The sequence below is a fragment of the Homo sapiens genome, chromosome 2 (assembly GCF_000001405.40).
Source record: "Homo sapiens chromosome 2, GRCh38.p14 Primary Assembly".
Classification (NCBI taxonomy): domain Eukaryota; kingdom Metazoa; phylum Chordata; class Mammalia; order Primates; family Hominidae; genus Homo; species Homo sapiens.
In genome coordinates, this window is record NC_000002.12 from 79,267,488 (window position 1) to 79,293,533 (window position 26,046).

The 26,046-nt window shown below is 40.3% G+C and overlaps 1 protein-coding gene and 1 long non-coding RNA gene across 7 annotated transcripts in view; one reads left to right on the forward strand and one right to left on the reverse strand.

Moving 5' to 3' along the window:
• CTNNA2 (catenin alpha 2) overlaps positions 1-26,046 on the forward strand; it is a 1,463,404-nt gene that overhangs the window by 82,111 nt on the left and 1,355,247 nt on the right. The window lies entirely within an intron of this gene.
• On the reverse strand, positions 2,438-24,799 carry LOC105374823 (uncharacterized). 6 transcript variants are annotated; one of them, XR_001739567.2, is made up of 6 exons: positions 24,715-24,799; positions 24,530-24,565; positions 24,368-24,386; positions 13,667-13,732; positions 3,360-3,436; positions 2,438-2,663 (listed from the first exon to the last, which is right to left on the reverse strand). It is a non-coding gene; the product is annotated as an uncharacterized LOC105374823 (long non-coding RNA). The 6 variants fall into 6 exon arrangements; XR_940281.3 differs by lacking the exon at positions 24,715-24,799 and adding an exon at positions 3,105-3,211 and having other exon boundaries at positions 24,530-24,618; XR_001739568.2 differs by lacking the exon at positions 24,368-24,386.

Consider the following 26,046-nt stretch of genomic DNA (forward strand, 5'->3'; position numbering starts at 1 on the left):
GGCCCCACCTCCCAATACCATCAGGTTAGTAATTAGGTTTTAACATATGAATTTTGGGGAGACCCAAACATTCAGACCATAGTAGATGACTAATAGTAAAGGTAGGCCTTCTCTCTTACAGACTGATCACTAAGGTCAAGTTTTAGCTTGGCCTTCCTGGGAAATACACTATCACCCACCAAAGAGCTGTAGTGGGACCTCGAGAAAATAGCTGGTAATAGATCTTGAGGATGCTGAACTGGTGGTGGGGACAGAATGTAAAGCTAAATAAAAGAGAGTTTACTAATATGGGGAATTGTCTTGTGACTCTTGTTTTAATGTCCTGGAAAAGCCCCTGGAGATAATCCTAATGTGTATTTGAGATGGCTCCTTGGAGCTTGGACACAAAGATGCCCTATAGTATAGGAGATAAAGATGCAAGAACTTCCTTGACAGAATATAGTGGAAGGGATCAAAAGGTTCATAGAGGTGAGCAAGGCAGAATTCACTTATTATCAAAGCACTCACTGACCGGGTTCCTCAGGAAGCCTGCAGAAGATTCCCTTCTCAAAAGCACAAAGGAAATAATTAGTGAGGGGAGAGCCAGTGATATTGAGAAGCTCATGGTGGCTGTCCCCTGTAGGCAGGGGCCTGATGGTAGTGAATTCTGCTAAAAACAAGTTGACCTAGTATCAACAGGCATGATGAGATTGCAGATTGGCATAGTTCAGGTGGCAACTCTTAGCCATCAGAGGCAAAGGGGATGTAATGACCATAATGGTCAGCAAGATCAGAATAACAGAGAGGAATCTCTAGTCTGCTGGAATCTGTGGCGATGGCTAAGAGGCCTCGGTGTTCCTAGCAATGAGATAGATGGACAACCTGGAGGATGGCACACCCCATGGAGAAGGCATGGAAGCTCTGTGCCTCTACCTGCATACCTCACCCCATGCACCTCTTCATCTGTATTCTTTGTAACATTCTTTGTAGTAAGCCATACAATGTAAAGCAGTGTTTCCCTGAGTTCTGTGAGCTGCTCACACTAATTAATTATAACTCAAGAGGGGGTGAGGGGAACCCCAATTTATAGCCGGTTAGAGGCACAGGTAAAACAACCTGGGGCTTGTGATTGGCGTCTGAAGCCAGGGGCAGTCTTGAGGAACAGAGGCCTCAACCTGTGGGATCTGATGTTATCTCCAGCAGCTAGTGTCAGTTGAACTGTGTTGGGAGGACACCTGGCTGGTGCCTACTACAGAACTGATTGCGTGGGTGGTGTGTGGGGAAAAAACCCACACATGTGTACAGAAAAGTCTTCTGTGTTTATTCTTTTGGTGTGACAACAGAGGAGAAACTGTTTTTTCTACACAGCAGTAGATATGCAGCTAAAAATTCCAAGGTTTCGATGTGTCCATTTTTTGGACCAGTCATTTTTTCCAAGCAGATTGAATACAGTTATCCATGTTGGAAATAAGTGTTTGACACAACCAGGTTAGTTAGAACCTCTGTGTTGGGGCTTGTTTCTCATTTTCTTGTGTGCGGAATGGGAGCATTTCAAGCCACCTCAGAGGGGCCAGATCGTTACCAAGGCTCTATCTATGCGGTATGTTAGAAATTGATGCTGGACTGCTCAGAACAGAAAGAAAATACACCTGAGGTGTACTGAGCTCTTATACAGCATGAAAGGGATCCACAACTCCTTCCTGGATACTCCCAGGGGGAGATCAGTTAAAAAGCTAAGCACCTGAAAAATATGCAGTGATCCCACAGCAAAGATCTTAAAATATTGACAGCCTAAGCCAGCAGCTAAAGGAAGGCTATATTTGAGAAGTGGATGTGCACACCCAAGCAAACTTGTGCCGAAGTCAGCAAGGAAAGACTGCTGAGCCTAACCAGGCTGAAGGAAGCAGCACCAAGTTCACTTTTCGTTCTACCCAAAAGATTTCCAAGGGTGGCCCTCAGGCAACCCGCAGTGGGTCACCTGGGGTAATAAGTAAACTGCAGACCCTCCAAGTCCTCTGCACATACTATAGAACAGAATTTCTGAAGGCATAGCTTTGGAATCTGTACTTTTAAAAAACAAGTTCCTCAGGTTATTATTCAAGCAGTCATCAAAAATCATTGCAGTTTATCCAGAAACTTTTTACCTCTTTCTTCACCTGGGTAACTACCACTTTGAAGAAAATTCAAAGGATATCTTCTCCAGGAAGACTTCCCTCAAGCAGGGTTAAATGCCCATCTTCTGGGCTCCCCTAAGCACAGAGGGCATAACACATGATCACTCTTATTGTATGCACTACTATCAAGTGCCTGTTACTTGCCAGTTCCTAGAGGGCAAGAACTATATTTTCTTCATACTAACTTCCCCTGGATCTAGCATGTTCACTAACTCATGGGCCACTTCAACTAAACCTAGAATGAAATGCTGTCAGAGAGATAAATCACCTGCTATAAACTTTATTTAGGGCCCTGGGTTTAGAATCCAGTACAGGATGGCCACTGGTGGCTGGGGATAGGAGTGGTGAATTAAAGTAACAAAACTTTGTCTTCTTGCTCTCCCCACTTATTGTCTGTGATTTTTCTCCTATAGAGCATCTCTCTTCTTCCTTTGTTTCTTCTCACAATCCAGAAGTTTCTGCTTCTCATATCCTGTTAGGCTCAGCCCAGGAAATCTTGGGGATTCATTTCTAGTTTCACAGGAAAAACATTGAATTGGTCACTTAAAAAGGGTAAATTTTGAGATGTGAACTATATCTCAAGGAAACTGTAAAAAAAATATATGACAAAGAAGAATCCCATGATTTAGTCAATGCCAAACTCTTAGGAACCATGCACTATACTCTGGCTTTCTGAGCCTGCAGCTCTTCTTCTCTTTTTGGTCCTTTTTTTTCTGATGTGCAATCTGCTTCCTTGCTAATGTCAGCCTTGATATTCTCACATCAGAGTGACGCCAGTCCCAAGGCCTCTTATCTGGTTTCTAACAACCCCCTGCTTTGCTAATTCTTGGTAATTGAGCTCACCTGCTTCAGGCCACACACTGGACTCTGATATTGACTTCTACCTTGCTCTTACATGGCAGCAATTGCACAGGCTGGGTGCCTATTCCCACAGCCCCTACTACCCATTACCTGTTCCTCTCTATGCAGCTCCCACCTCTCAGGCATTTGAGACTCTCAGGTTCTCAGAAATCTTCTCAGATAACCCTCAGGGTGAGCATAATCCACTGTGTCCCACTCTGAAAAAATGCACTTGAGGTCATAGCTCACCATTTTAGTTAAGTATTAATTTCTTTGTTACTAGCTCCAGGGCAGCAGAGTGGTTTGAGGGAATGAAGGAATAAAAGAACATGTGTTCCATTAAGGGGGTTTTCCATCTCACCCTACCTTTCCCTCTTTGTCTCCTGAGTCTTCCAGGTAGGTGCTGCTTCTCTTTTAGGCACATCTTTCTCTGCAGGAGTAAACTAGGGATTTAAAAAAAAATGAGGAAACAGGAAAACTGGAAGATGCCAGAAGGCTGCATATTTAAAACCTGAGCTGGAAAAGAAAGAGAAGCAAAATAAGTCTGTATAGTCTGACTTTGGAGCCATGGCATGAGGCAGAAGTCAGACTTTGGAAAAGTTATGAGACATGAAAGTGAGAGAGATGAGAAGGGAAAGAGGCTTTTAAGAAAATTTTCTGTGAATAATAAATATATTCTCCCTTTGGCGATTCTTCTAGTAAGTAATAAATTGCTTTTCAATTTTTTTGGCTATGGGAGGTTTTTTATTGCAATATCATGATAATAGAGCCTAGAGAAGGGGTGGCCTTTATATGGGTGATAGAAGCATGTCTAGATCCTGAAACCACTGTTCCCAGGTGGTGGCTTCCCCCTGTAATGCACACGTGGGTCACTAAACCCAGATAAAATAGCTTTTGTGACATAACAGATAAGGAAAACAGAATTCTTGGAAAGACTGATAGCGAGAGAGCTGTTTACTGGCCATAGCACAGGGACAGAAGTTGGGGAATCAGAGTGGCGAGGAAATAACAATTTATTCCTTATGAAGTAGCTAATGTGATTAGCTTTTTGGTATGTGTGCATGGAGAGGCAGGCAGCTGGAGACAGTCTTTTTGATCTCTGGCTGTCTGAGTAGAGGATCATACCAGTGGGTGGAGGCAGCTCTCAGATCTCCCGCTCTGAGCAGGAGTCTGACTCTTTGAAGTGTTCCCCTCTCTACTTTTACTGCTAACAGACAGTGAGGAAGAAGGCTACGTCCCTAGGGCAGGTCAGGAGGCCTTGAAGTTTCCCCAGTAAGAGGAATTTAACAGAGATGACCATGGGAAAGGCTGTAAAGTAGTTCAAGCTGCATTTCAACATCTCTCCATTACCCTTTGGCTCCATCCCTATCCCAGGTGAATAGCAGGTATATTTTTTTGCTTCTCCTGATTACTGAAAGCTTTTCCATGGAGCCCTTATCGGCCTAGATCATATTCTATGCCATAACCTTCCTCGTCTCCCATCAAAACTGCCCTGAACCCATTTCATGAGGTCCTTAGTGTGAACCAAATTCATACTGGTCTCTAGTGACTTACAGCAATAATAATACCTAACATTATTGAAGGCCAACTATGCCTTAGGTCCTATTTTAAGGTCTCTACCTCTGTTAGCTTTTCTAAGACTTACGATACCCCTTTTATAAAGTTGGTGATATTATCTGTTCAAATCACTTAAGGTAGACAACTGACTACTGTGCTAAAAATACAACACATTTGGCGGCCAGGAGCAATGTATGATCTAATAATTATATGAAAACTCCAGTCTTGATTTCACCAAGATTTCAGATCTCTTCCTGAAAATTCTTGATGATTCCCTGTTTATGTGCCCATAACAGATTAAAAAAAAGAGAGCAGAACAAAACACTCTTTATATTAGCTTCCAATTAAAAACTTCAAAAACCAAACAAAAATGGTGTATAATTTATAATTATTTTGATATAGTACATCACATAATGTTCCTAGCTTAGATTGTCTTCTTAAGATATTTCAGAACAAGAAGAGATATTCTGTTAATATTACTTATTGGACATCATGCCAGTCACATATTTGACTGGAGCATAAAACAAATGACCAAGACAGACACAGCCTTTACACTTAAGGAAATTAAAATTTAGATAAAAGATTCTTGAGAATACTTGGTATAATACCTTGCCACTGTAAATTGGATTTTTAAAATTTTGTTTTATTAAACAAAGTGTTTAAACAGCAATAATTACACCCATTTATTTTCATCATTTCATTGTAATTTTTATGTGTTTTCTATTCATCCAATGGCTGAATTCTGTTTTTGTCTTGTTTTCACCTAACTTTTGATAGTGAAATTTAACCCATTTACATTTATTGAGATAACTGATATGTTTACACTCATCCCTATTTCAGACAGACTCTTTGTTTTACTTTATTAACTAGGTTATGTTTTGTTGCAAGGAACAGACAATTGGACAAACATTGGCTTAGATTATGGTGGTAGTTATTAACTTAATGAAAAGTATAATGTTAGGTGGCTCCAGGATTGATTTAGCAGTGCCATATCAAGGTACATGGTGTTCCTCTACTAAATTTGCTTGTCTTTTTTTTTATGGTTTCATGTTGGCTTCTCAGCACAAAGTATTTCTTTACCATGCAACAACATTCAAAACCAGTTAGTATCAACAAATAATACTGATATAATATTTATTTTGTATCAGGACTGTTCCAGAGACTTCACAGATATTACTCATTTTATCCTTAGGGCAACCTATCAGATAGGCATTATTATCATCTCCAGTTTACAAATAAAGACTGAAACACAGAGAACAACTAATTAAAACATTATAATTAATCCTTTTTCCATTTGCCCTGAGAATACTCACTGGTGGCACCTGTGGCTGCAGCATTTAGCCTGAGATAACTTTGCCACAAAATATCTTGCTTTCATTATTATTTTCACCTCGCTCTAGTATATTGACTTTGGAAACAAAGAGATCATTCTATTTATAGCATTCTGTTTTAAGGAGTGGTATTTCCACTTAGAAAGTATAGTAATTCTTGATTGCTGAAAATGTCCAATCCTAGAAAACATAGCATTCCTATGGGTTATAGTAACATCATTATCAAACAGTCATTGGCCAAAGATTCACTTGATGATTCTGGTTTTCTGAAATAGATGATTCTGATGATTCAGACAATTCTGATGTTAGTTCTGTTTAGAAATAGCTCCAAAAACAGTTTTTATATTTTATTTTCACATTGAAAATTAGTCAGATTTGCTTCAGCCTCAAAGAGCATGTTTATGTAAAATTAAATGAGCGCTGACAGCAAGCTGCACTTTTTTTTTTTTTCTAAATGGGAAAAGGGTTTTAAGGGAGAAAGGGCTGACCGCCCCAGATCTCTGAAAGTAGTTTCACAATTCATGCCTTGTCACCTGACCTGAGCCCTGATTCCGCTCTTTGTGGTCTGAGATCTGAGCACCTTGGAGGCATTCCACTCCTACTGCTTCTTTCTTGTGTATTTTCAGTTCTAATTTTTTTGTTTGTTTTATTTCTCTGCATAAATATTTTCATCTTCTCTCTATGTTTCTGGAAATTGCTAATATTTCTGGATTGCTTATTATAAGCTTGCTTTCAAATGCTGCTATGAATTTCTTATTTTGAATTCTGTATATTTTCTGATATTTCATGTAATTTTAGATGTGTAAGAGGAATGGTTTATGTTCTCAATCAGCTCTCTTGAAAGAACTCAACCTCACTATTTTAAAGATGAGGAAACAGGCCAGGAGAGACTTGTGAGTGGTTAGCTTAATTAGTATTACAAAGTGAACTAAAGACTGAATTGTCTGTGGGCATACACTGAGTTTGATGCCAGTGGGGACTTTTAGTCTGAGAATTTACCCACTATCTTATATTTTGTCTCTAAAAATTGTTTTAAAACAAAATAGAACTTTAGTTCTTGCTTACTAAAACATCTTTAGCTTATTTATTCCACAGGAATTCTTCTACTATAAAAAGCATATACATTATAGATAAATAACAAAATAAATAACCTCTTATCTTAACATTCACAAATAACTTCTCTAATGTTTTACTATATATCATTCAAGTATTTTTTGAAATGATATGTATAATTATTTTTGATAAAATATGAAACAATATACACATAGCTTTTCAGCTTAACTTTTAAAACATTCAACCATATATTGTGAGGTTTCTCCATATATTATGTGGATCCTTTTAAAACATCACTTTTAATGACTCCATGGTTTTCTATTATATAGATTTAATAAAAATTTAAGCAATGCAATATTGTTTCAAATATATGATAATTTATAAATGGCAGTTTTCCCTGAGCTCAACATGAAAGATATCAGGTACCAAAATGGATTGTGAAATAGATCATTCTTTAAGAATTGCAAGCAGAGTCAAAAAGCTGTTAAATGCTCTTGAATCCCTCACCCGCATCAAGGATAAATATGGTTGAGAAATTGCTCATGGGATGGTTTCTTTGGACAAAGCTATGCTCTGGGAACCCACCCCAAAGGGAAGAGATAGAGGTGCCTCTAACTTTACCTCAAGTGGAAAGAAAGGGGCTCCAGTGGGACTACCTGGAAGGCTTCAGTTATTTTCCTGAAATAACCCTTACAAAGTCTTAAATCCAGAGATGAGTTCACTGAAAGCATAAGCACAGAAGAAATGGTTGTGTTGCAAGCTTAGTATTTCAAGCTGTGTCAAGACAAAATGACAGCATATAGGCTGTGCCCAAAAGAGGTAACTGGAGTTTACATCTTGTCCAAGAGGATCAAAGGTAGGGGCACTAAGACCCCGGAAAAGATAATCTAGATGGGGTGGACTGATACGGGAATGGCCAAACAGACAAAAATGCAACACATCATAAAAAAATACAGATTAATTTCCTCACTAGGGCCCCCTAGGAACTCATGAAGGTACTGAAGAGAAAATGTGAACTTACACATCTGCCAGGCTCAGATGTCAAGTAATCTTCACAGTAGTACCAATCAATTTAGAATTTTCTTGCCCCTCATGTTTTCTACACTATGGTTCTAGATGAAATTCAGGAAAAAAGGATCTTTTTTTCAGGAAAAAAATAGTAATCTCTAAAATTATTTTGTCTGATATTATTATTTTAATATTATGATGTTATTATTTAAAATGCAGCTATGTAGCATAATATTTGAATTATATCAAGGTTTCATTTGTTGTTTAGCCTATGTTCATTCATTTATTTGAGGAAATATAAAATTAACTTTTATTTACTCAGCAATAATTTTATCGCATTCCTCCTATGCATTGGGCATTGTGTTAGTCCAGCAGTAAACAAATTAGATAAAAATCCCTGCCCTCAGATAATTTATATTCAGAGGGGAGGGGCAGACATCAAAAAAAAAGATAAGAAGGAAAATGCATAGAATGTTAGATGTTAAACAGTGTTACAGAAGAAAGGAGCATAGAATTAGGCTAGGGAGCATCAGAGTGGATGGCAGACTTCAGTTTAGATGGGATAAAGTGAAGGTCAGGCAGGATAAAGACCTAAAGGAGGTGAGGGAATGAGATATGCAGACACCTGGGAAGACTATTCCAGGAAAAGGGAACAGAATACGCAAATAAACTGAGGCGCAAATATGCAAGAATGTTAAATACAAAGAAAGAAGGTCACAGAAGTAAGTGAAGGGCAGATTAAGAAGAGCATTCTAGGTTATTGTAAGAACTTGGTTTTCAAATAGTTGATGTTTGTAATTATTACGCATAAGTCCTCTGCATTCTTGCTTATGTATTTGTTTTTATATATTATTCTATCCCCTTAGTCTGTTTGAGCTATCCAAGTTTGAAAGTTGTGCTAAAATATCCTCCTAATGTTATGGTTTTGTCGACTTTTTCTTATTTTTCTAATAGCTTTTGTTTGATCTATTTCAATGCAATTTCCTTGGGCACATAAAAGTAAATGAGAATTACCTTCATTGTAGATTATACCCTTCAATAATAAAAAGTAAATCATTTTGCCTGATGTAATGTTTGTTACCTGAAGTCTATTTTGTCTGATATTGATATTGCCAACCTGGCTTTCTTTTTGTCTGCATCTTATTTACCTGAATACCTTTCATACTTAACCTTTTGTTTGCCTATTTTTGTTTTTTAGTCTATTACGGTGTTTGTGTAACTTTTATTTATTTCTTTTCACATCTTTTGGTGGTTTTCTAAAGTTTTCTTTGTACTACTTTTCCTTTCATGTTGTAATCTATGCGTTTTCTCCTCCTGCCTTAATGATTACCCTTATTTTAAAAAAAATTGTCCCCTTGTATTTATGGTCCACCTGTGTTTCCTTGTCATGAAAATTAAATGTTGTTTACATGAGATAAGAAAGGTTTTCCATTTCTACTTCTTCACTGTGGTCATCACAAGCCAGGTTCACACACTTACCATCTAAGCCTGCATGTTCACATGCGCATAGATGTGCACACACACACATGCAAACATGTGCACACACACATTGTGTTTGCTATTTTACATGTCTAGAGTAAGACCCATCCACCGAGTTTTTTGCTTTTGTGAAAATGAATCTTTGAATCTCAGACCAGAGAGCCATGGAGGAGCTGTCTCAGCAAAAGATAAAGAGCAGGATCTTTGTTCTCCTAAATCCTCAGTTCCTTGGATGATACTTTAAACTCTCTCCCACCTCTGCTTGCACCAGGATTGCAACAGCAGAAGCCCAGAGAGATGTCAAGCGGCTTAAAGGAAATTGTATGTAGTGGAAAATTCTTTTTTTTATTAAAAGCTATTTATCTTTCTTATCTTTTTGAATATACGGCTGCTTCTGGCTTGCCTCTGTGAATCCACACGGCTGATCGAATCTCTGCCTCATTGTGCTCATTTATTAAAAGCTGAATTCCAATATCAGCCATAGGTGATTCCTACATCAAGGGACAGAGTCCTACTATGATAATTATGGCAGGAGGTCAGGATGCAGCCTGGGGGCAAGACAGCAGTCAGCCTGAAGCATCCCAAAGCCTAAGGATCCTCTCACTGCTGGCTTTCTCAAGGAGACTGACGGTTCCTACCTTTCTCTGAGCCAACCCATGTGCCTATGTTATGCTATTTAATTTTTACAAAAGTTCTATGACATAGGTGTTATAATCCTCATTTTACACATTAAAAAATTGAGTTTCAAAGATGCTCAATTCATGTTAGCTAGAGGTAGACCCAGGATTCAAACCTACATGTTTGACCCCAAAACTTACACTCTTCTGTAATGATGCTTTTAAGAATGGGAAAAAGTGGCGAATGGGACCATCATCATTACGTTAAGCTACAGACATTTAGTTTGGGGCTTTCACAGACTCAATTTACTTTATTTGCTCTAGCAAATAAAGTACATTTTGACCTAATCTGCATTTTTCAAACTGTGCTCCAAAGCCCTCTAGAGGTTGCAAATGTGAGTGAGGAACAACTAAGATGGTCTGCTCTGGGCTACTGCTGCTCTTTGATTTATTTGTTTAAACCTCCGTATGTAAGGTTTTGTTTGGAAATACAAATTCACCTTCTACAGCATACTTAAGGGTGGTGGAGGATGAAGGAAGGTAATTTTATAGAAGAAGTCTAGAAAGTTCAGGCCACTGTAGAACCAAGACAACATCGGCTCTTGCTCCTACTTCACTGTATGGCCCTGGCTGCAAAGCAGCTGGCGTGGATGGAGACATGAGCCAAGAAAAGAGAAAGTTTACAGGAACTGGCAAGAATGAGGATCAAAATGGGTCATAAGTAGCAACCCCAGGGACACTATTGGCAATTACCAATCAGGTCCAAACTGCACAAGATAAATCTAACTTAGTTTTCTGTATTAATGAGGAGAGACGGGGAAGAAGGAGCGAGCATGGTCACTATTTTAGAATTGGAGACAGGTATTGGTAATAGGGAAAGGTATTGGTAATAGGGGCATTATTGTATTGTAGGGACAGCAAAAGCATAGCTTCAGGCCAGCAAGAGAGAGGGCCTACATGTGACTCAAAATCCAAAATGACATCCCCAAGCCCACGAAAAAAAAATGTAATTGTGGGCAATTTTGAAAATGTATTACATTATGCAAATTGAAAAGTATAAGTCCCCGTTGTACTTGTTTGGAGACACAGTGAAATCCTAATTTTTTCTATTTAGATATAAAATAAGCATCAAAGAAAGAGCCCCACCTCCATCTAATGGAGAGGACTCTCTCTACCTCCAGGCTAATTGCCTAGACCAACTTGAATTCCCTATTCTAAGCTAATAATGGAGAGTGTCAGGGACTGACTGGGTTATCCAAGTTGAAGCCATCAGGCAATACATCAGAGAAAAGAAGAGGGTAAAGAGGGCCAGGTCCTCTGCTGTGGCTGGAATAGAGGATAGGACTACAGTATGGCATAGAGAATGTATCTGGGAAAGGAGAACAAGAAGATGGGTCTTCCCTCAGAGAATTCATAGAAAGTGTCAGCTGGTCAGCCTCTTGCTGTCAACCTGAGGTGAGACAATATGGCAGGGTGATTATGGGAGATGATGTGCAGATAATCAGATGTGGAGAGATGGAACAGGGATTCATAAGCATTTGTTGTGAACCTTTAATCTCAATATTTGTTGCATTATTATTTTGAATAATATAATTTTGAATCTCTTACTTTCAGCTTTTATTTTCTTTCCAAAAGATCTATAAAAACCCAGCCCTTCCAAGGTACTCAGGAAATTAACTGCAAATATTTATTATGTAGCCTGCTGAAGAGAGACCTAAGTAACTGGGGTTGTGTGCCCTCGCATAGAAAAGACAAAGTTCAGAAGGCAGGAGTGGATGGTATAACAATTTGTTGCCCAGTGGGATTGGAAGTGAATGAGGGGAGGAAATTCACCATAAATGCCTGAGGATAATTCTCAATATTCATATCTTCCTCCTCCAAAGTAAATTAGATGGGGTCTGCGCAGGTGAGTCTGAAAAATCCCCAGGTAGTTTTCGTCCATGCCCCCAACTTCCAGTTACTTGTAACTGACACAAAGGCACAGGATGTAACAAATGAGCTGCCACCTCCATGACCACAACAGAAAAGTTTTGGTGGTTGACACTAGGAAAAAGATCTTCCCTTTGGCAATTATGTATAACCAAAGACATCTTTAAAGGAAAATTAGACAGAATGCATTGAGTCTGTCTAAACAAAATGACTGCTTTTTTGATTTTGTGGTATATAAGTAAAGTTTGGTAAGACCATGGGGCACATTTTGGGAGCTTGAAGCCACAGCTCATATGCAATTCCTCTTCTTGACACTTCCAAATGTGTAGGAATTATGGGAAGAACAAAATAGAACCTTTCCATTAGTCTAGGATATTCTGTTTTGTTCATTCCCTAAGCATTGTCCTGTTAGCCCATCTCCCCAGAACATTCTCTTGAATGTCAATGAAGTTTTATCCTCACCTTATTGGGCCATGGAAATCTCAAGGTTATTATTCTCCCTTTTGCTCTCTATCCTGAAAATGTATTCAACCTTACTAAGAATTTGGTGTTAATATTTCGCAAACTTATTTGCATGTCTTTGTTTTCTACATTAAAATGGTCATTTGAAATTGTGGTCTACAGGACACTAACATTCACCCCTTCCAAAATTCTTCTTCCGTCCTACCGTCAATTTGTCAAGGGATACGGAGGTTCACCATTGCATAATTCCAGAAGGGAAAAAGAATAGCACATCTTTTTCCTCTTATATACCCATAATTATCTGTTTCTCCTGGGCAGATCTATGCCTCCACCCTAAAAAGCAGCTCCTTGAATCCTTCCCTGGACTCTATTTTTATCTTTGCAGTGTGGAAGCCTAAAAACATGTGAGGGGGATGGAGTTTGGGAAGCTTCTATACATGCCTGCACCACAGCACAGCCTTGACTGCTGTCTGCCCAAACAGCTGGACATTTCTGCAAGCAAGCAAACAGAAATTAAATACACAAAACAGCCAAACCAGTTGTAGGGTATGATGGAAAAAATATCCCCGGAGCAGGGGGTCCTGGTTCCTCCACTAGACCAGTGATAAGATACTCAACCTCTTTGGGCTTAAAAACTGGGGTAACAAAGACTGTAATCCCACAGGAATATTTACTGCTTTTAGTTGCCCAGCATTCATCCTGTATGCTGTGTGTGTGTGTGTGTGTGTGTGTGTGTGTGTAAGAGAAAGAGAGAGAGAGAGAGAGAGAAAGAGAGAGAGAGAGAGACCTATAGCTCCCAGATCTCTTTGGATGTGTTCTTTGCCATCCACCCTTGTGCAGCTCTTTCTGGAGGACCACCCTTGGTTGGCTAGAACATGCTGTGACTGCACACCTGAAGAAAGGAAAGTGCCTGGGTGCCTGAGGATTTACAGGCTACCCTGACTCCTTTGCCCAGGAAAAGGCCAGAACCAATGACACACCCGTATCATACTAGAAAGCCTGATGGGATCACTTTGAAGCTCTGTTTGCACTCTACATCTCCCCTGCAGGATCAGGCTGAAGCTATATTCAGCATAACTTTTCCTGAGTTCCTGCTCCTGGTTCACATTCCCCCTCTTTGCTGTCCTACCCCCCACATCCTTATGGGGCTTCACCAGCTAAAGCATCATTAGCACACACATCCTCATCTCAAGATATGCTTCTGGGAAACAGGAACTAAACCAAGAACCATCCTTACATGATCATAGGCAGTCTTGGTGGGACTATCAGTCAGATGCCCTGTATGTCATGGTCCAAGGGTGGCCTGCAAAGCAAAGCATTAATCAGACTCTCTGATCTGGAAATCTGCATCTTGATCAGATGACGCAAGACAAGAAGCTGGTCCCCATGGTGGTGATCTAAAGATACTGGTCACTCATTCCTACCCACAGATCCTCAGAGAGCACTGATTCCTCCCCTTTAACGGCTCCATTTGCTCAGTTTTTCTTCCTTTCTCTGAGCTGACCTATATACTCAAAACAAATTATTTTTTGGCCTTCCTTATCCAGAGTTGCTTGTGATTAAATAACCCCAACTGACGTGGAAATCAAATAAAGCAACAAAGAACTGCTTTTTCAACTGTGAGTACTACTCTGAAGTCATCTGTGATTATTGCATAAGCAGTCCCTCTTAGTAATGTTTTGCTGTAGTGTTTGACATCACCAAAGAACACCTATACTTGACTTCTCCTTGCTTTTGCCTGTGCATTTCACAGTTTCAGTATTTGACAAGTGAACTTTCTGAAACTACCAAAGACAACAGCACACACTTCATCAGCATTTTTGTTTATTGATACCAGGATTAGCATTTTCTAGAAACATAATAAAGTAATTGCAGACATATTTGCCTTATATTTGTGAATTTATCAATTTATGGCATAGATTCCAGGAGCATGTTAGTTTTTAGAGTAGAGATGCTGATATCCCTTAGCTATATATCCAGAAAATAACAACTATGTAGCTTCTAAATTTTTACATGAATATTTCCAATAGTCCAGCTTAATGTGTGGCTTTACAAATTATAATTTATAATAGTCCCCTGTCAATAAAAGTATGAATAATAACATGGTTATCTTTTATAGTGCTTTGTAGTTTATCATCTAATTTTTTAGGTTGATCTTCAAGATACCTTTACATGATTACTTTAATTGAGATGAGAAAATTAGAAATTTTCAGATGAGAAAAACAGGGTTGAGAAAGCTTAAGCCACTTCCAAATGTCTTAGAAATATTAAGTGGAACTATACCTTTATCTTTTTCTTTAAATCTTTATAATCTTCTTTATAATCTTTTTTTAAAATTTGTTTATTTATTATTATTATACTTTAAGTTTTAGGGTACCTGTGCACAATGTGCAGGTTAGTTACATATGTATACATGTGCCATGCTGGTGCGCTGCACCCACTAACTCATCATCTAGCATTAGGTATATCTCCCAGTGCTATCCCTCCCCGCTCCCCCCACCCTACAACAGTCCCCAGAGTGTGATGTTCCCCTTCCTGTGTCCACGTGTTCTCATTGTTCAATTCCCACCTATGAGTGAGAATATGCGGTGTCTGGTTTTTTGTTCTTGCGATAGTTTACTGAGAATGATGATTTCCAATTTCATCCATGTCCCTACAAAGGACATGAACTCATCATTTTTTATGGCTGCATAGTATTCTATGGTGTATATGTGCCACATTTTCTTAATCCAGTCTATCATTGTTGGACATTTGGGTTGGTTCCAAGTCTTTGCTATTGCGAATAGTGCCGCAATAAACATACGTGTGCATGTGTCTTTATAGCAGCATGATTTATAGTCCTTCGGGTATATACACAGTAATGGGATGGCTGGGTCAAATGGTATTTCTAGTTCTAGATCCCTGAGGAATCACCACACTGACTTCCACAATGGTTGAACTAGTTTACAGGCCCACCAACAGTGTAAAAGTGTTCCTATTTCTCCACATCCTCTCCAGCACCTGTTGTTTCCTGACTTTTTAATGATTGCCATTCTAACTGGTGTGAGATGGTATCTCATTGTGGTTTTGATTTGCATTTCTCTGATGGCCAGTGATGATGAGCATTTTTTCATGTGTTTTTTGGCTGCATAAATGTCTTCTTTTGAGAAGTGTCTGTTGATGTCCTTTGCCCACTTTTTGATGGGGTTGTTTGTTTCTATCTAGTAAATTTGTTTGAGTTCATTGTAGATTCTGGATATTAGCCCTTTGTCAGATGAGTAGGTTGTGAAAATTTTCTCCCATTTTGTAGGTTGCCTGTTCACTCTGATGGTAGTTTCTTTTGCTGTGCAGAAGCTCTTTAGTTGAATTAGATCCCATTTGTCAATTTTGTCTTTTGTTGCCATTGCTTTTGGTGTTTTGGACATGAAGTCCTTGCCCATGCCTATGTCCTGAATGGTAATGCCTAGGTTTTCTTCTAGGGTTTTTATGGTTTTAGGTCTAACGTTTAAGTCTTTAATCCATCTTGAATTGATTTTTGTATAAGGTGTAAGGAAGGGATCCAGTTTCAGCTTTCTACATATGGCTAGCCAGTTTTCCCAGCACCATTTATTAAATAGGGAATCCTTTCCCTATTGCTTGTTTTTCTCAGGTTTGTCAAAGATCAGATAGTTGTAGATATGCGGCGTTATTTCTGAGGGCTCTGTTCTGCTCCATTGATCTATATCTCTGTTTTGGTACCAGTACCATGCTGTTTTGGTTACTGTAGCCTTGTAGTATAGTTTGAAGTCAGGTAGTGTGATGCCTCCAGCTTTGTTCTTTTGGCTTAGGATTGACTTGGCGATGCGGGCTCTTTTTTGGTTCCATATGAACTTTAAAGTAGTTTTTTCCAATTCTGTGAAGAAAGGCATTGGTAGCTTGATGGGGATGGCATTGAATCAGTAAATTACCTTGGGCAGTATGGCCATTTTCACGATATTGATTCTTCCTACCCATGAGCATGGAATGTTCTTCCATTTGTTTGTATCCTCTTTTATTTCCTTGAGCAGTGGTTTGTAGTTCTCCTTGAAGAGGTCCTTCACATCCTTTGTAAGTTGGATTCCTAGGTATTTTATTCTCTTTGAAGCAATTGTGAATGGGAGTTCACTCATGATTTGGCTCTCTGTTTGTCTGTTGTTGGTGTATAAGAATGCTTGTGATTTTTGTACATTGATTTTGTATCCTGAGACTTTGCTGAAGTTGCTTATCAGCTTAAGGAGATTTTGGGCTGAGACAATGGGGTTTTCTAGATATACAATCATGTCGTCTGCAAACAGGGACAATTTGACTTCCTCTTTTCCTAATTGAATACCCTTTATTTCCTTCTCCTGCCTAATTGCCCTGGCCAGAACTTCCAACACTATGTTGAATAGGAGTGGTGAGAGAGGGCATCCCTGTCTTGTGCCAGTTTTCAAAGGGAATGCTTCCAGTTTTTGCCCATTCAGTATGATATTGGCTGTGGGTTTGTCATAGATAGCTCTTATTATTTTGAAATATGTCCCATCAATACCTACTTTATTGAGAGTTTTTAGCATGAAGGGTTGTTGAATTTTGTCAAAGGCTTTTTCTGCATCTATTGAGATAATCATGTGGTTTTTGTCTTCGGCTCTGTTTATATGCTGGATTACATTTATTGATTTGCATATATTGAACCAGCCTTGCATCCCAGGGATGAAGCCCACTTGATCATGGTGGATAAGCTTTTTGATGTGCTGCTGGATTCATTTTGCCAGTATTTTATTGAGGATTTTTGCATCAATGTTCATCAAGGATATTGGTCTAAAATTCTCTTTTTTGGTTGTGTCTCTGCCTGGCCTTGGTATCCGGATGATGCTGGCCTCATCAAATGAGTTAGGGAGGATTCCCTCTTTTTCTATTGATTGGAATAGTTTCAGAAGGAATGGTACCAGTTCCTCCTTGTACCTCTGGTAGAATTCGGCTGTGAATCCATCTGGTCCTGGACTCTTTTTGGTTGGTAAGCTATTGATTATTGCCACAATTTCAGATCCTGTTATTGGTCTATTCAGAGATTCAACTTCTTCCTGGTTTAGTCTTGGAAGAGTGTATGTGTCGAGGAATTTATCCATTTCTTCTAGATTTTCTAGTTTATTTGCGTAGAGGTGTTTGTAGTATTCTCTGATGGTAGTTTGTATTTCTGTGGGATCGGTGGTGATATCCCCTTTATCATTTTTTATTGTGTCTATTTGATTCTTTTTTTCTTTATTAGTCTTGCTAGCGGTCTATCAATTTTGTTGATCCTTTCAAAAAACCAGCTCCTGGATTCATTAATTTTTTGAAGGGTTTTTTGTGTCTCTATTTCCTTCAGTTCTGCTCTGATTTTAGTTATTTCTTGTCTTCTGCTAGCTTTTGAATGTGTTTGCTCTTGCTTTTCTAGTTCCTTTAATTGTGATGTTAGGGTGTCAATTTTGGATCTTTCCTGCTTTCTCTTGTGGGCATTTAGTGCTATAAATTTCCCTCTACACACTGCTTTGAATGCGTCCCAGAGATTCTGGTATGTTGTGTCTTTGTTCACGTTGGTTTCAAAGAACATCTTTATTTCTGCCTTCATTTCGTTATGTACCCAGTAGTCATTCAGGAGCAGGTTGTTCAGTTTCCATGTAGTTGAGCGGTTTTGAGTGAGATTCTTAATCCTGAGTTCTAGTTTGATTGCACTGTGGTCTGAGAGATAGTTTGTTATAATTTCTGTTCTTTTACATTTGCTGAGGAGAGCTTTACTTCCAAGTATGTGGTCAATTTTGGAATAGGTGTGGTGTGGTGCTGAAAAAAATGTATATTCTGTTGATTTGGGGTGGAGAGTTCTGTAGATGTCTATTAGGTCCACTTGGTGCAGAGCTGAGTTCAATTCCTGGGTATCCTTGTTAACTTTCTGTCTCGTTGATCTGTCTAATGTTGACAGTGGGGTGTTAAAGTCTCCCATTATTAATGTGTGGGAGTCTAAGTCTCTTTGTAGGTCACTCAGGACTTGCATTATGAATCTGGGTGCTCCTGTATTGGGTGCATATATATTTAGGATAGTTAGCTCTTCTTGTTGAATTCATCCCTTTACCATTATGTAATGGCCTTCTTTGTCTCTTTTGATCTTTGTTGGTTTAAAGTCTGTTTTATCAGAGACTAGGATTGCAACCCCTGCCTTTTTTTGTTTTCCATTTGCTTGGTAGATCTTCCTCCATCCTTTTATTTTGAGCCTGTGTGTGTCTCTGCATGTGAGATGGGTTTCCTGGATACAGCACACTGATGGGTCTTGACTCTTTATCCAATTTGCCAGTCTGTGTCTTTTAATTGGAGCATTTAGTCCATTTACATTTAAAGTTAATATTGTTATGTGTGAATTTGATCTGTCATTATGATGTTAGCTGGTTATTTTGCTCGTTAGTTCATGCGGTTTCTTCCTAGTCTTGATGGTCTTTATATTTTGGCATGATTTTGCAGCGGCTGGTACCAGTTGTTCCTTTCCATGTTTAGTGCTTCCTTCAGGAGCTCTTTTAGGGCAGGCCTGGTGGTGACAAAATCTCTCAGCATTTGCTTGTCTGTAAAGTATTTTATTTCTCCTTCACTTATGAAGCTTAGTTTGGCTGGATATGAAATTCTGGGTTGAAAATTCTTTTCTTTAAGAATGTTGAATATTGGCCCCCACTCTCTTCTGGCTTGTAGAGTTTCTGCCGAGAGATCTGCTGTTAGTCTAATGGGCTTCCCTTTGAGGGTATCCCGACCTTTCTCTCTGGCCGCCCTTAACATTTTTTTCCTTCATTTCAACTTTGGTGAATCTGACAATTATGTGTCTTGGAGTTGCTCTTCTCGAGGAGTATCTTTGTGGCGTTCTCTGTATTTCCTGAATCTGAATGTTGGCCTGCCTTGCTAGATTGGGGAAGTTCTCCTGGATAATATCCTGCAGAGTATTTTCCAACTTGGTTCCATTCTCTCCGTCACTTTCAGGTACACCAATCAGACATAGATTTGGTCTTTTCACATAGTCCCATATTTCTTGGAGGCTTTGCTCATTTCTTTTTATTCTTTTTTTCTCTAAACTTCCCTTCTTGCTTCATTTCATTCATTTCATCTTCCATCGCTGATACCCTTTCTTCCAGTTGATCGCATCAGCTCCTGAGACTTCTGCATTCTTCACGTAGTTCTCGAGCCTTGGTTTTCAGCTCCATCAGCTCCTTTAAGCACTTCTCTGTATTGGTTATTCTAGTTATACATTCTTCTAAATTTTTTTCAAAGTTTTCAACTTCTTTGCTTTGGTTTGAATGTCCTCCCGTAGCTCGGAGTAATTTGATCATCTGAAGCCTTCTTCTCTCAGCTCGTCAAAGTCATTCTCCGTCCAGCTTTGTTCCGTTGCTGGTGAGGAACTGCGTTCCTTTGGAGGAGGAGAGTCGCTCTGCTTTTTAGAGTTTCCAGTTTTTCTGCTCTGTTTTTTCCCCATCTTTGTGGTTTTATCTACTTTTGGTCTTTGACGATGGTGATGTACAGATGGGTTTTTGGTGTGGATGTCCTTTCTGTTTGTTAGTTTTCCTTCAAACAGACAGGACCCTCAGCTGCAGGTCTATTGGAGTACCCGGCCGTGTGAGGTGTCAGTCTGCCCCTGCTGGGGGGTGCCTCCCAGTTAGGCTGCTCAGGGGTCAGGGACCCACTTGAGGAGGCAGTCTGCCCATTCTCAGATCTCCTGCTGCATGCTGGGAGAACCACTGCTCTCTTCAAAGCTGTCAGACAGGGACATTTAAGTCTGCAGAGGTTACTGCTGTCTTTTTGTTTGTCTGTGCCCTGCCCCCAGAGGTGGAGCCTACAGAGGCAAGCAGGCCTCCTTGAGCTGTGGTGGGCTCCACCCAGTTCCAGCTTCCCGGCTGCTTTGTTTACCTAAGCAAGCCTGGGCAATGGCGGGCGCCCCTCCCCCAGCCTCGCTGCCACCTTGCAGTTTGATCTCAGACTGCTGTGCTAGCAGTCAGTGAGACTCCACGGGCGTCGGACCCTCTGAGCCAGGTGCGGGATATAATCTCCTGATGCGCTGTTTTTTAAGCCGGTCGGAAAAGCGCAGTATCAGGTGGGAGTGACCCGATTTTCCAGGTGCCGTCTGTCACCCCTTTCTTTGACTAGGAAAGGGAACTCCCTGACCCCTTGCGCTTGCCAAGTGAGGCAATGCCTCGCCCTGCTTCACCTCGCGCATGGTGCGCGCACCCACTGACCTGTGCCCACTGTCTGGCACTCCCTAGTGAGATGAACCCGGTACCTCACATGGAAATGCAGAAATCACCCATCTTCTGCGTCACTCACGCTGGGAGCTATAGACCAGAGCTGTTCCTATTCGGCCATCTTGGCTCCTCCTTATACTTTTATCTTTTTGGTCTTTTCTGAATTTACCATCTGTTTGAGTTATCCATCTCTGCATAGTAAACTACCTGAAAACTTAGTGAATAAAACTAAAATGTATTGGAATCCATCATGGGTCTGTGGGTTCACTGTGTGCTCAGCTTGGTAATCTTCGCTTGGAGTCTCTCATTGATGGAATTCAGGTAACTGCTGTAGCTGAAGCTACTGGAAGATTTGACTGAGTTGGACATCCAAGTAGTTTCTACTCTCACATTCCTGGCATCTGGCTTCTGGGATGAATGGCTATTTCTCTCTCTCTCCCTCTCTCTTTGTTTTTCTCTCTCTTCTTTCTCTCTCTCCACATGGTCTTTCCATGTGGCTAGCTTAAGCTTCCTCATACCATGGTGGCTTTGGAGTTCCAACTGCTGTTTTTCTAAGGGAGAGAAATTAGAGGTTGCCAGTCTCTTACACCTGGGCCCAGAAGTTGGCTCAGTAATACTTCTAATGTATTCTATTTGTCAAAACAATCACAGGGTTTGCCATATTAAAAGAGTGAAGAATAGATACTGACTTTCAGTGGGGGAACTTTCAAACAATGTGTGATCTTCTTTAATGAGACACATCATAAGAATGAGAAAATTGAACATCAACTGATACATTTTCTCAAAATTGAAACAGAAAAAAGAAAACAAGTCACTTATTTGATAGTCACTTTTTTTCTACTATAGGCATTATGTCTGACATGTCAAGATACAATTTGATTGCTTTTTGTTTGTTTCATAATAGAATTTTAGGGTATGTGAACCAAATCACATTTTCCAAGGACAGAGTCTAATATCTACAAGTCTGAGAGAATCTATTTTCTTCCAAATTGGGCCTTTGCCTCTCAGTGATTTGTCATTATTGTCTTTGTGATTCGAGAGGGTGGACTATAGATTCCACCTCCTCAGTCTCACACAGCTGAGGTGAAGAGGATGATATCTGACAGAGCCAGGGAAAGCAAGGATGTTAGTTTTTTTTCTTTGGGGGTTGTTTTGTTTTGTTTTGTTTCTGTGAGCAGCTAGAATAATTTTCATAGGTAAATATAGATTTAATGATGAAGACAACAAAAGATGTGAGTGTTTGTTAATAAAAATGGAAATTATATTCACTTTCCAGTTTCCCATGGATACATGTGACGAGTGGTGGGCTAATGAGTCGGGTTGGTTAGAATTCAGCAACCAGGCCAGGCGTGGTGGCTCACGCCTGTAATCCCAGCACTTTGGGAGGCCGAGGCGGGTGTTGGTCGAGACCAGCCTGACCAACATGCGAAATCCTGTCTCTACTAAAAATACAAAAATTAGCCAGGCGTAGTGATGTGCGCCTGTAATCCCAGCTACTCAGGAGGCTGAGGCAGGAGAACTGCAGGAACCCAGGAGCCAGAGATTGCAGTGAGCTGAGATTGCGCCACTGCATTCCAGCCTAGGCAATACAGCAAGACTCCATCTCAAAAAAAGAAATAGAAAAGAAAAGAATGCAGCAACCAAGTTCTCTGTTTAACTCCTTAATGTTCCTGTTTACCAAGGGTGACAGTATGACATTACATCCAATATAATACTTAGGAGTGAGGGCTCTAGAGCTTAACTCCATAAATTCTGATTGCATTGCTTACTAGCTGGAGAACTTTGGCCCAGATAATCAGCCTCTCTGTGCCTATATTTCCTTTTCTGTGATATAGGGAGATGTCATACCTATTTCAGAGGTTTATAACAATTGAGATGCTATGTGCAAGTGAGAAACAGTTAGGGGGCTACATACTCAGGTGCCCACTGTGCATTTGCATGACCCTAAGAGTGAGAGACTCCTTAAAGTTTACACCGTAGGCTCTTAATTTGTGTTACTATAATCCAGGCCCTGAACATAGAGTCTTTTAAGTATCAAACCAAAAAAATCTATGTTTAACATTCATTGGACTGGTCAACTAGTACCATTTATCACTGTTAAAACCCCTAACATTGGGTATGTTGATTAATAGAGCATTGGTTACTGATCAAATACAGAGCACAGAAGCCCCTGGAGCAACTGCCCTGGAGTGTGGTCCTTTTTGATACTGATACGGGAGCGGGGCAGGGAAGTGCTGGGAAGGAAACGGAGTGGTCCCTGCCTAGGGCTCCACCTCCGGCCCTGTGCCCACGGACCTAGGTGAGGACGGGCACTCCTGCCTTTGTGCCCAAATGTTGCATTTCCCAAGACCACCCTGGCCCACCATGCCCCCGTCGTGTGCCTATAAAAACCCCAAGACCCTAGCAAACAGAGACACAAGTGACTCATCGTCGAGAGGAACACACCAGCAGAAGAACACACAAGCGGCTGGACATCGAGAGGAATGCACTAGTTTAAGAGTACACCAACAGGCACCAGCAGGCCGGCAGGCCATCAACCGGAGGAACGACATGGAGTTTGACTGGGGAGTCCCGACTCCAGGGAGAAACCATCTTCCCACTCCATCTCCCTTCCGGCTTCCCCATCTGCTGAGGGCTTTTTCCACTCAATAAAACCTTGCACTTATTCTCCAAGCCCATGTGTGATCCAAATCTTCTGGTACACCAAGGCAAGAAACCTCAGGATACAGAAAGCCCTCTGTCCTTGTGATAAGGCAGGGGGTCTAATTGCGCTGACTAACGCAAGCTGCCTACAGACAGCAAAACTAAAAGAGCACCCTGTAATACACGCCCACTGGGGCTTCAGAGGCTGTAAACATTCACCCCTAGATGCTGCCATGGGGTCAGAACCCCACGACCTGCCTGTCTGCATGCTCCCCCAAGAGGTTTGAGCAGTGGGGCACTGAAGACACCAGCCACTCCCTCTGTCACACACTCTGTGAGGGGGATAAGGGAACTTTTCTCCTTTCACTATGACACAAGTAACCACCCTTAAACCATGAATTCTTGATTAAAGCAATGACTGGCTAGAAAATTAAATCTTAAGGTAACTGAAATTTGCATTATCTTATTTTGTCTATGCTAAAGTATTTTAAAGCAAAGTACAGCTGTCATAACAAATGAGACTATCCCAGGAGACTGTCAGGTGTATGTCAGTCTCAGACATATCCAGAAGAAAAAATGTAGAGATGATATATCCAGGAATTCTTCCATCTTCTGACATATAAAATTATTTCTTATCTCCTTCCTCACACCTGGGCCTATCCTGCTGAGGTATAACAGATAATCATTACTTATTTGGTATTTGGACCCCAAATTGCCAGGCATCCACTTCCCCTGTTCTTCCTTTCTTTCATTTCCTCCCAGGAGCCATAAGTTGAAGAAAGTATTTCCCATTACAGAGTGTGAACAACTTGTGCCCTCAAACTTAATAAGCTCCCATTTACTCAGATGTGTGGCTACTGGTCCCTGTCTTTTGTCCCTAATTTCAACCTTTCTCCTAAGGAAGTGAATACCCAAAAAGATTTACTAATTTATCAAGTGCTTTGGCTACATTATTTGTGAATAGTCTCCTCCCATGGCAGTGACTTGGACACTAGGGAGGATCTGGCTGGTTCATGTGTCAGTTGTATTTATTTTTATTTATTACATACATATTCAGAAAGAAAATTATTTACCTGTGCATTTCCATGGTTTCTATTGCCATGGCAGCCAAGATATTGTATTGCAAAGACAAGAAACAGAGAGACAGAGTTATTAGTAACGGGATTGAGGGGGATGTTTGCAAGCCCCTGGAGCAATACTTCAGATACCCAGGGCTTTTGGGGGGTAGAGCTCACCTGTGGGGGTGGTTGATTGGCTGTTGTTCAGCTCATCTTAGAGAAGTAAAACAAGGAGATCAGATAAAATGTTGGAAAGGTAATTATGTTCTACAGGAGTTCAGCTCTCATCTTTCTGGGTTGGTGCCCTTTAAAAAATTGATGGTTCTTTACGTGCTTAATTAAAGTTTGGAATGGCTGCTCACCTCCATAAATCATTTCTCCTACCCAAGGAAGCAGTGTTGGCTGTGGCAGTGAGGAGTAACCAGGGCTACACTGAATTCCCTGGGGCTAAAAACTGAATGCTATTTATTGGAGCACTGGAAGAACATTTTCTATGCTGAATGCCATAGTTCACTCTGCAGTCACTGAGAGCTGAGAGAGTTCCAGCTGATGCTTTCTTTAACTGGCTGATTTTCTTTCCAAGGCAAGCTGGAAGAGAAGTACATTCAGAATGACAAGGGTTGAATAGCTTGAATCATCACCTAGGTAATCAACTGTAATGCTAGTTCTCTAAGGAACTAAAAGATGAAGCTTTCTTTTAGAATTTCCATTTAATTTTCCCAGTTTGTCTTTAGAAGCAGGGGTATGGTTAAGTACAAGTACCCCATTTCCCAGGGAAGGTCATTGAGGCCCAGATGGAAAGGGACATCCTAAGAGGCACACAACAAATGAACAATGGAAACAAACAAAAAAAATAACGTTATGAATTTGGGATGGAATTAGAGATCAGAGCTAACAAACTGAGCTGTTATTTCCTGAGCAACTCTGGCTTCAGTGCAAGAATTTAGCAAAAACATTTTGTCTCCTCTAATCCTTCTCCTTAGTTCTTTTGGAGCATTTCTGAGTGGGGACAATGCCCTTGTCTGGTCAGTATCACACTGGGCTGAACACTGGCTTCTAGTCAGAATCTTCTAGTTCAATCACCTTTGTTTTCACTCATAAAGTGGTAGAATGTTAAGGTCCACAATATTGCCTGCATTCTGCAGCCACCCATATGTCACCACCTACCTGCTTTATCTCTTTGTCACATTTTCATCTCTTTCTACTTCAACTTTCCTTTGATTCATCCCCAAAAGCTTTCCCCTAGGCCACTTGGCAGTATTCCCTCACTAGTCAAAATCTGGTGGGTCTTTCTTGAGTGAGCTCTCAGAGCTGACCTCCTTTTTTAAGACATCTATTTGCATGCAGGTGGCCATCGATGACATCAATGGTTTTGCAGTATTGAGCCACATTTTGGATTTTACCTAGAAGATGTGCAGAATATAAATGTTTTCATGAGGTATGTGGGCCAATTTCTCATTCAGGATGAGAAATGTTGCAGTTGAAAAAATTTGGAAACATAAACTGGCTGCTTAGTTTCTGTGGGTGTTTTCATTCATTTATTTAATATGAATGCATTAAGAAATATGAGAAAAACAGTTTGGTGCTCAGAAAATCATACTACAGTCCCTCTCCCCTAGAAGCTTACAGTTTGGCTAAAAGGAAAAGCAATATAAGGCAAATATAGTGCAAATCAAATAAGTACATAGACAATA